The following is an 11,503-nucleotide window of genomic DNA, read 5'->3' as shown; positions in this document are numbered from 1 at the left end:
CCCGGCATGTCCTAGATGTCCTGGGGCCCGGCCTAGGGACCCCCAGCAACTACCCTCCCCGCCCGCCTTCCGGAGGCGGAGCCCGGCCCGCGCTGCCCTGCAGGAGAAGTTTCCTGCCGCTCCTAGGGGGCGCCATGAGCCGCGGCGAGCGCCCCATTCATCCTCCCAGCGAAAGAAGATTCCCCAGAGCGACGGCACTAAGGGGGCGCGAGGCCCTTTTCTTCACCAAAACCTCGCTCCATAGCACTAGCGCTTCCCTTCTCCTTGGGAACTCCAAGCTGGAGCTTGGGGACCTACGAGGTCTGTCCTATCCAAGCCCTAGGACGCTCAAACATGCGGGAACTTTCTTCTCAGATCCCGCCAAGTTAGGGGTGGGAGGAAGCGAACCGGTCGAGTCTGACCTGCTTGCGCTGTCTCCCTCGATTATGAAATGGAAAGACCATGAGTGATTCGCTCTGCAACGCTGTCTCCATTTCTTTTCCTGACAGAGGGCTGGTCTCAACTGACATAGTTACAGATGTGGCCTTAACCCCAGCCCCGCTCCCAAGCAGAGGAGAAGAGTGAGAAAGAGGGAAAAGCAGAGGTCTGTGCTCTCCCTTCAGATATTCACCTCTCTAGCCAACAGTTTTCTTCTCCCCTCACCTCCCCACCACGCAAAAAATCAGTCTCATTTGAACAGAAGCTTCTCCCGGGTACAGGGTCGGGGAGCGTGCAGAGGGTAGCCGGAGCTGAGAGCTAAGGCCGAACTTAGATTTTTCATGAGACTGTCGCAAAATGAAAGAAGAACCAGGGAAGGAGGGTGGATACGTGCCACACCGGGCGACTGGATCTGGCCTTAGGCAAGAGAAGCTCTTTTAACCCGGGGATTTGCTTCTCAACTGTGGCCCGGCCCCACACCACCGCCACCCCACCCAACAGGTTTGCTAAACCACGTTTCAAGCCCGAGGGACTCAAGCCGGGAAAGGTTATCCCGGGAGCTTGGACCTGCAAAGCCCAGTGTGTCTGGCAGAGCGGGGGTTCTAGTCTTGTTGGACTAGAACAACGTCACTGGGTCGCAAACCTGACTCGCTCACGCGCAAGGCGAGGGCCGGCGGCGGTCTGCGCGCGTGTGGACTTCGTGCACAGTCGGTCTGCGGTGCCTTCCACCAGCCAGCACGGGGCTGTTCTCTTAATGAATTACTAATGAGTTAAAATTGGGCAGCAGGCTTAATTAAAGCGTAGAGGCAATGTGTTTACCACATTGTAATTGAACTCATTAGGGCTATGGCTTTTTGTTTTTTAAGCAGCCGCCTTCCTTCTCTGTGTCGAATAATCTATGGGAAGCGTTTATGAGAGAAGGAGGGAGCAGGGCAGAAACAGTCCATCAGTTCTTTCAATGAAAAAGACAGGACGAGGATGGGGAGGGGGATGGAACGCCTCCATTTCGCCGAAGTCTTGGTGGACCCAAGGCTAAACCGAGGCTTCCCAAGAAGTTCCAAGGGTAGGATGATCCAGTGAGGGTTGCCGGCACTTGCAAAGTTGCCAAGGAAGGAGCTAGGCCGGAGCCTGAAAGGCAAACTTTGTAATACCACGCTGTTTTACCGAACTCGGTCTTCATCCCCTCCTGGAACGCTGGGCTCCAACTGGAACCCCTGGCCCGCGGTCTCCCTGACACGCAGTCTGACACTTCGTTATGAGACGGATTCGACTAACTTTTTTTTTTTTTTTTTTTTTTTAAAGCAGCCTATGTTTGGCCCTAAAGCTTTCCTTCCTGGAGATGCTGAGAAGGGCTCAGTCTTCCGTATCCAATCTTCCCAGCTCCCCTCCTGGAGACGCACAATAGGTTCTCATCTCACCTCAGGTGGTCGTTCCCCGGGAAAGTGTGGAAATGGTGCCCCCTCCTAGTGGACTGCCCTAGGGCGGCACAGGAGAAGCGCACCTGCGCGTCCTGGGACAACCCTTCTGGCAAGGGAGTTCAAGCTGCCGGCCCAGGCTGCGCGCCCCCAGGGCGGATTGCTCCCTCCTGCCCCTGGTCCTACTTCAATTACTAGGCCTCCAGCCCTCGCCTCATATCTGTCCTCCTTCGACCACTGGGCATGGAGGGGTGAAGGGTGGGGTGATGGGGCTGGGGCTGGCGCTGCGCTCCTCGCCCTGCCCTGCCTGACCAACAGGCGGCGTCAGAGAGGTCTGAGGTGGGGAGTGGGGGGGTGCGGATCTGAGCAAGCTAAGCCGAGAAGCAGGGCGCGAGGAGAGACCGACCCTCACCCTAAACTTACAAACTTGCCCAGGAGGAGAGTAGGAAGAGCTGAGCCGCTGCAGGAACCGCCGAGAAGGGGAGGGGTGGGACAGGACAGGGTCGCGGCGAAGGGCCGGATCGCGAGCAGGAACGCAGAGGACGGCGGGCGGCGGGCGGCGGCGGCTGATCCGCGCAGGGGAGGCGGCAGGCGCCGCGGGAGGCAGAGCGCGGAGGAGCCGTGGAGCGCGAGGCAGGAGGGAGGACCTCGCGCAGGGGGCCGGAGACCGCGCGGGCGGCGCGGACAGGTAAGTGGCTTCGTCCTCCGCCCTCGGCCTCCCTTCCTTTGGAGAATACGGGGACCAAAGGGACTCCAGGAATTTCTAGCCCCCGGCACAGCCCAGCAGCTGACCTCGACCTCCTCCCTCCCCTCCACTTCAAACGCACACCCATTCCGAAGTCCCCATTCCGCACCATTTGTAAATTTTGTCAGAGTCTCCCACCCTGACCATCCCCCACCCCATCCCACCTATCTCCGCCTGACCCGGGAGGTTGAGGTAAATTGTCTCTAATTTGTTGCTAAAAGATTAATTGCAGAAGGTGGGTCGATTTGATTAAGGCAATTAATTTTTGGTTACAACGTTCTGGTGTCACTTGTGGGCGGGGGGTTGGGGGGGATATGAAGAGAGCTAGGGAGAGAAGGCAAACTAGACTTTTTGGAGACGCTGTGGAAAGCGGCTCCCTAGCTTAGGACAGCATCCAGATTTTTGCCCCTGAACCTCCGCAGCCCGCAGCTCCCTAGCTCACGCCGGCGGTTTCAGCACTGCCAAGCTCGGACAGCGACTCCCGCGGGCGAGCCTAGTAACTTCCCGGTCCTGGCAGGTGAAGGAACGTAGGCAGCCGCAAGAGCTGACCGGGACGAAGGGTGCACCCCTAGCCCCGTCTCCGGCCCAACCACTGGGCTTCCCTTTCCCCACTGCTTCAAAGCAGGATCCGGCCAAATAGACTCCCCGAAGACCCCAATTCTCAAACCGCCATAGGGGTGGGAAAGAGAGAAACCCCCCAAACGTCTCCTAGAAAAGTTCCCAAAGCTGGAGTTTTCTCTTTTCGTGAATAATTAACGCTGCTCATAAATAACTGATAGAGGCAGTGGAGAAGGGAAGAGGGAGGAGGCGAGCGAGAGCCAGAGCGGCCAAAGAGAGATCGAAGAGTTTGTTAAAGGACCATTAAGGACGGCTTGCTGGGAACGGCATTCCTCCCAGATCACCCAGAGCGGTTCCACCCTGGCGAGGGGTAAAAGCAGAGAAGCGATGCGCCCAGGAGAGCGAAGATTGTGCTGACCAAGCCCAGGGCAGCCTTTCTGGACCCAATCTTGTACTCTCACCATCCTCTCACACCAACCCAGGGCTCTTCCCAGAGCCCCCTGGGACCTTGGGTCATCACCCCATCCCCATGTCTACCCCCAAAGTGCAGAAGTTCTAGGCTAGATAGTAGAGGCCCAGGGCTGAATCTGGGTTTTGAGCTCTGACGGTGCTGCTTAGGACTGTGGCAAGACTTGCCCAATTCCAACTAATTTGCATGCACCTCCCCAAAGCTCTCCTCACCCCATCTCAGACCATACCATTTCATTCTTTTCACACTGGTCCAACGCCTTGAGACTTCAGTTTCCATCGTATTCATTCCCACCTGCTCACATCAGAACCTTCAAGAACACAGTCTTTACAGTGTCCCCCACCACCCCCCCAAACTGCTTCACCCTCTCCCACTGCCCTTCTACCATCTCCAATTTCTAACTTCGTCTAAGGGTCTGGAGCATGCTGAACTCACATCTTATATCCATCCCAGCTCTGAACTGGGACTCGTGAGCAGGGATCTCAGAACTTGGAAGAAAGCCCAAGAAGAAACCCTTCCTCCTAGGCTGCAGGCCTATGCCAGGGCCTTTTGGCTTCTCTAGGAAACACTGGCCTCCCACCAAATAGACCGCCTCAGATGGCCAGTACATGTTTTTAGAGTGAAACTCCTGAGAGCCCCTTGGCCAAGCAGCCAACACAGTCCTTCACAGGGGCTCATGGAGGCCATCCCACAGCAAAGCGATGTCTTTTCCTAGTGCAACTGGGCATAGGGCCGTATCTTCCCAGGGCATTGGCCCAGGGAAGAAGATATTGTAGACTGCACCAACCACCAATAGCTCTGAGATGAGGTTCTGACTTAGGGGATAGGAAGGAGCCTCTTTCTGAGCTTGACCATTGGTCAACAGCATCCACCATGTCCACTTCCAAAATGACCATCTCCTAACCTCTGGGTATACCAAAGGCCAGACTGACTTCTGATATTTCTGGGCTAAGAGCTGAGAGTAGCTTCCAAAGAGAAAAATTTGTGGCCAAACAGTTTTATTTTCTCGCCTACCTCCTCCCCACCTCAACACTTCCATACTCTGAACTCTACCTTTTAAGAACAAGGAAGTTCTGAATGGGAAAAGAAAATGGAGGGAGAAGAGGAAATTCTTAGGGAATTGTCTCTCTGCCTCAGTAGGGACATACCAACCCAGGAGGATTGTTGTGAAACTAGACAAAGGGGTAGGAGGAAATCAGATGAGGAGGAGGCTAGCCCTGGAGCCATAGGTTGTTTACTTCTCATATAAAATATAACTCCCCCAAGCAGGAAGTTACTGCAAACAAGCATCAATAATGAATGAATCTCCTGTAATAAAATACTTACATAATTAGCACAAGTCAAGTGGCTGCATTATGTTAACCTTTTGCAACTCTGAGCTGGAAAATTTTGCTCCAGAAATCCTCAGAATACTGTTTTCATTCTCAAGAGAGGGTGAGAACCAAGTGCTCACCCAGCCTTCCACTCTGTTATGATATGGTTTTCCATTTCTGAACCAGGACGTAAGTACTTCTGAAATATAACAGAAAACTCTCTTTGGTGAATTCAGAACAGTCATTAACATTCAGTTTTAAGTGAATGTTAACAGTAAATAAAGAAATCTCTTGATTGTAATAGTAGTAACAAAGCAATAATTACCCAGTAGGTGGTCATCAGTAATGATAAATGTATCATTATTACTGTGTGAGTCTGGGAACTCAGTTTTGGAAACTACTTCAGACTTTTTAGTAGCATGGCTGGTTACAAAGCATTTCTTAGCCTGCAAAAGCCATATAATTTTATACACAATTTAGGTGAAAATAAATTTAAATCTGTATATTACATTTTTAATTTCAAGTTAGTAATTAAAGTTGGTTCATTATATCTCTTCTGAAACCCTCAGTGCTCATCTCCATGGTTTGTTTGTACAATTTGTTTCTAAGACACCCAAGGTTACACAGTTCTAAAAGATAGAAAATTTAATTATTTGCCAACATTAAGAGTTTGCTGATGATATCATAATGTGTCTTGAAGAAGTTTGGGATGGTATTGTCTTTGGTCTGTTTAGCTGCACTTTCACTTGGAACCCCTTAAGCTCCATGACAGAAAGCCTTTTTTTTTAATTTTTTTTTGCTTAAAAAATAACTTTTAAATACACCAAAATAGAAAATGTCTCCCAACATTCTCTCTGCATATTGACTGGTTGCTGTATTTTCAAGAAAAAAAAAAAAATCAATGACTCAGATTTCTATCACCCTCTTCCCTGGGATTTATTTTGCTAACATCTAATTTTATCTTTTGCTACCACTGAGTTAAAGTGTGCAGGCAGGAGAGAAGCAGAAGGCATTATGCTTATTGGGCAGTCAGAGAACACAAGATAGTTTAATAGTGCATTAGGTAATGGGATCAAGCTTGATGGAAAAGTAGAAATTTTTCAGATGAGTTGAATGATGGGGGAGGGTAAGATAGAGAAAACAGTAGGAAAGGGAAAAAGAAAGCCTTTATTTCCTTAGGAAATAAAATCCAATGTTCCTTCCACCAGTGTCAGCTGGGGAGATGGTAAATGTACATCTCTCTCGTGACATGTCAACTACAATCTACAACCCCTCCCCCTACTCCCACTCCTTTGCTTCCCCTCCCCAAGCTTTAAAGGGTCCTGCTCTCCACACCCTCTCTGCATCCTCAGTTTTATTTACTTCTTAAACTGGTTGTTTGAAACAAAATAGCCAGTTGTAAAATAAAATAAGCCCTAGGCCTCATGTCTCATACTTAGTGGTAGTTGGAGTCTTTGTATGATTAAAGACTCTTTTGCAGAAATGCAACCAAATACTTGCTGTGGTTTCATCTTCCCCAATCCAATTTCCTACTCCACTTTCTCCCTCTTCCCTTCTCCTTTTTTCTCCTCTCCCTTCTTTAGGAGTGTCAATCAGAAAAGGCAAGCATCTTGCCTTGTTATTCATTATTATAGCAGCATCTTTGAGATGCATCTTTGCCAATGAAAACTCCATGTAGATGCCTTATCCTTTTGTTGTAGCAGCCTAGGTTATTCAGGAGCAGAGACAAAAGCCTGAAGTGATGTGATCTAAATGAGCTCCGGGGTTTTCCAGCTGGGACCACCTCCATTTCAAAGGACCCCCTCCTTCCCTATATGGGGAGGAGGTGGGTGGAGAGGGCGGGTACATATGTGTATACGTGCAAAGAGACAGAGAGAGTGAGAGAGAGAGAGAAAGGAGAAAAGAGAAAAGCGAGAGAGCCTAGTGGGCTTATTCCCTGTGCCAGTGTTTTTCTTAGATGCATATTCACAGGTGTGTTCAGGGAGTGTGCATCCATGGGTCTGTGTGTATCCTCAGGTATTTTGTGTGCCTTTGAATTTTATCTTGTTCAACTAATATTTGCTAAGTGACCACCAAGTTCACCAACTTCATCTTCCATTCTGAATATTATTACTTCATGGAAACGATGTGCACATGTGTGCCTTGCTGTGTTTACAGGTTTGGGAGGACTTATAGGTGTTCTCTCTTACAATAAAGAAAGGCCAATAGCAACTGTTTCAGTTAGTCCCTGTGAACTAAGGGTAAGGAGGTTAAGACTCTTCTCTGCCACTTACCCAAAAGCAAGCTTTTTTGTGACAAAGATTTCCTCTGATTAAGGACAATCGAGTCTCAGTTTCTCCTCCCACCATCACTATTTCTTTAAAAGGTGCTTGTTTGAAGTGTAAGAGCTCACTGATTCCCATAGTCACTGGTGCATGAAGAACTCAAGGGATCACTGGGGCAGGAATACCGGTCCTGCAAAGTATGCTCAGTTTCCCTTCCCAATTCCAGTTTAGAATATTTGGTCTGTGCTCTCGCTGTACTTCTCTTGGACTGGGCCCTTGTTTATAAACAATATTTCAGAGAAGATTCAAAGATTGAGTTAGCCCCAGGATGCTCGGAGCCCTTTCTAGTTCATCCTGTGACTTCCGCCATGAATAAATCTTTAGTTTGCTCCTAGTCCCTGGTTTGTTCCATGCAACCACAGCTGGGGCAATAAACGGAAAACCAGGGAGTCTGAGCCCGGCTGCAGAAAGGTTTTTAGGGTAGAAAGTGAGAGCTGAGGGTTATCAGCAATCGTTATCATTATGGCCATTATCATTGCTAATCTTTATTGTCAATCTACTTACAATGGGTTAAACAAATGCTAGCTGGGGTTCTGGCCAACTGTATATAAAATAAAGACTAGACCAATTAAAGGCCAGATAAAATTTTAACAAAAGGACTAATGTTCCTCCAGAGAACTTGGTTCCCTCTCTGCTCACCACTAAGGTAAAGTGCCTTTGATATCTTTTATTCTGGAGCTATTAAAGATTTCTAATGTATCTTGTAACAGGACAGTACTAGCTCTTGTCCCCATTCTCTGAGGAAAATGCTTTTAAAACTACCGTGTATTAAATGACTACTGTGTGCCATGCACTTTGCATATATGATCTTACTTAATTCTCACGACACCCCTGTGGGCTACCTATCAATCTCCTCATTTTGCAAATGAAGAAACAGGGGCTTGGGGAGGTGAGGTATCTGAGCAAGATTCCACAGCTAGTCAGTGATTGAGGAGAAATTTGTACTCAGTTTCATCTGATTCTGAATCTCCGGTTCTTTCTAATATACCAGAATTCTTCTGCCCCTTCCAGTACTGCCAGTCTCCCAGTTTCTTTCTGGGCCATATGGGTCAACTTTTGCAGGCTTGGGACTAACAGAGAAATCATTTCTTGCCCTATTTGATGCAGAAATACCAATGCCAGGGACACTTCTATCAGGGAGATGGGAGCAGTAAGATTTCTGCCTAAGAGCTGAGAATGGGGTAAGAGGGAGTGGGAGAGAAGGATAGAGGCTGTTTTTCTGATCTGTAACGGTCATGCGTTCCTTAACATCCAAACTGGGAGTGGGAAGAGAGGGCATATCTGGTGTTTCAGATTGTAATGATTTTTTGTCCAGGCTTTTATTTTCTTTGCTGTCAATGCAAGGAAGGGGGTGGGGTTGAGAGATCTGGATTGCTCAGTCCTTGGAGATGGGGCAAGTGTGGGAGAAGTAGGGGGTGTGGTTCTGTGTTGCACCTTGCCCGCCTCTTAAGACTATGAGGCTCTGCTCGAGCCCGCCCAGAGCCGAATCTAGGGCTCAATTACATGCTGGGAGGCTTCTTCCCGACTTGAACACAGTAGGATTCGCTGTGCTTTGGAACGATGCATCTCGTCAGCACCGCGGACAGTTCCCACCCGGGTTTTGTTGTGGCCTCCTATACCGCGGAGTTCAACGCCGGCTCGGAAACCGACTGTGTCCCAGGTGGAGGAAACTGGGCCCAGGCCCGGCTGAGCGTGGGTTCTCTTCAACCAGTTTAAATTTGTAGCTGGAAGCCCATATGCGCTGCTGTGCCGGCCTCCTCCTCTTACTTCCAGACGTCGCCTCTCCAGTTATGAGGAGGCCAGCTCGGTTTGTGGTTTTCCTCTGGGTCCCGCGTCTGGGCTCCTTTACCTGTCCTTGGCCTGGGTGAACCGCAGCCGCCCGGAACGGAGATGGGAGTGGAAATGCTCTCCTCCATGTGGTGATAGATCATGAAAATGGGTGACACCAGTTTAACCAATAAAACAATTTGAATCAATTAGCCGGCTGAGGAGAGTCCTGACGTGTAAAATGCATGTCAGCTCGAAGAGGAAAGCATTGATTAACTCGGGCTCGACCAGCCTCCTCTCGCCACCGTCGACTCCTCCCTGAGCCTGCCAGTGTCCCAGGGGCCAGAACAGGGACTGACAAGGACTCCACAGAGGACCAGCAGGAGACTTGTTCAAACTGAGGAGAAAACAAAGGGTCACAGAGACAGTGGGTGGCAGAAGGTTGCTCGCAGACTCAAAATATACCAACAGGCTGTGATTCTGCAGTCCAGCTCTGGTCTCAAGATGAGGATTCACTGGGGGCAAGTGTGAAGTCTTTGAATAACTGTTATCCACTTTTACCTTCCAAAAATATATAATTGACCTGACTTTTTAAACAGGCACCCTAGACTCATAGGGGAAATAAAACACTGAACTATTCTTAGAATTGTGTAAAATTATTTAACCTAATACCACTCATTTTTCCTTCCAATGAAACCTTTTTCTATTAAAGTTGTGTATCCTGTTTGTCCTGTAGGGTGGGAGGGCACTGGGGAAGAAAGTTAAGGCTTGTAGGCAGTAAGCCCAAAAGTAATTTGTAAATGTTTCTGTTTTAAAATTCAGGTAAGGAAGTGGCTACAGGTGCCACCCAGATGTGGATTCAGTCCTCAGGGTAACCTGGAATGGGAGGGAAGGCAAAGATTCAGCCCATTTCTCTTGTCAAATAAATCTGTTTTTGAAGACACTCTTTTTTAAAAGATAGGGATCTGTAAGAGGAAGAGGAGCTTTGTGGGGTAACAATGGGAACTGTACAATCAAAAGTGAAGACCTCGTAGTTCTCCCTCCCCGGCAGCAACCAGATATTTCCCTGTGGTAGTTAGAGAGGTGATAGGACTTCTCCTTTCTTCCCGCTCTCAGTCGTAAAATCAGCCCCATTTCCAGGGTTCGTTTCCACGTGGCTCAAGATTTCTTCCTGGCAGTCTGGGAACTGGGAACGTTTCCCTTTGTGGGAGCCCCTGACCCCAGAGAGGAGGCAGAGGAGGGGAAAAGAACCAGCTTAGCCCTGAAACCTTCTAAAGAGCACTGAGCCTTCGGCCTCAGAGAGAAGGGATTTGTGAATGACAATGGCGCGCTTTTGGCCAATGGGCTGGGTAGGCAGAAAGTGTGAGTTTTCCTTCTTTTTAGGATGGGAGGCTTTGGGGTATTGGCGGGGGAGCACTAGGTTGATTTCAGCCCCTTAGGATAAAGCCCAATTTGTGCCTTGAATGTCTTTAGAAACTAGAAGATGGGTGAAAAATTCTTTCATTGCCCGTTGAAACTTATGCCCAAACGTTTCGATTTTCATGTCTCTGTAACTGTGTTTTCAGGATATTAATTTAAAATAGACACAACTCCTGAGCAACAAGCCCCTCACGTTTCTGTTCAATTGACTTTCCTTGGGTTTATTAACCTTTGATGAAGGTTAAGATTTCACATTTTTGCTCTTGTATTTAGGAGTGGTATGTTGTTGGTGCTATGACACAATCTGGGTGGGCTTTCAGCTTGGTAGATGTTTTTCCATCATTTCCACAATGCTAGGACTGTTTCACTAGGCAGCAATTGAAAATTCAGCTATGGTAGTAAAGGAAAAACTTAAAGGATTTCCCAGCCCCACCCCAGCCGGCATCCTTCTTAGAACATACTCCAAATAAGTGGTTTCTTTCCTTTCCGATAAACTAGCCAGTGGTCGTTTTGACTCTTAACAGCTGGTCAATTGGGACGCACTATATTGACACTTCATTAATACACTAGGGTGCGCCTCATTTAGGGAAACTGTGAGGAAATGTTTTCTCATCCTAGTCTTTATTTTAGGGGAGGAGATCATGCTTCTACATGTTTTCCTGATTAAATTTATTTATTTCTCCAGGAAAATTGGCAACTTGCTGAAGGACTCTTCCATGTGGGGGACCTCCCTGCTTCCCTGCCCCACCCTTTCCTTGTGTAGAGGTAGCCTTACGGATCTTGTAAAATGGGTTAGAGGACGATTCTGAATGAAGTTTGATAAATCGATGTGCATATGCACATATTGGGGTCCTCACCTAATTGTACACTCCATAAAATAGAGAAGGCTGCAGTGACTCTGCATCTTGTCCTATAAAGCAAATGTATATGCAAAAGTCGGGGCACTCCAAGTTTTCTGATTGGGCACCCTATGTGGAAACTTCTCTCCTTTTTCTCATTTCATAGCGTTTCAAAGGAGTCACTGAAGCTAATTTATTCTCCAGCTGACTGTGGATTCTGTCTTCAGACACAGAGCA

Source organism: Homo sapiens, chromosome 18, assembly GCF_000001405.40.
Source record: "Homo sapiens chromosome 18, GRCh38.p14 Primary Assembly".
Lineage (NCBI taxonomy): Eukaryota > Metazoa > Chordata > Mammalia > Primates > Hominidae > Homo > Homo sapiens.
This window is presented reverse-complemented; position numbering follows the sequence as displayed.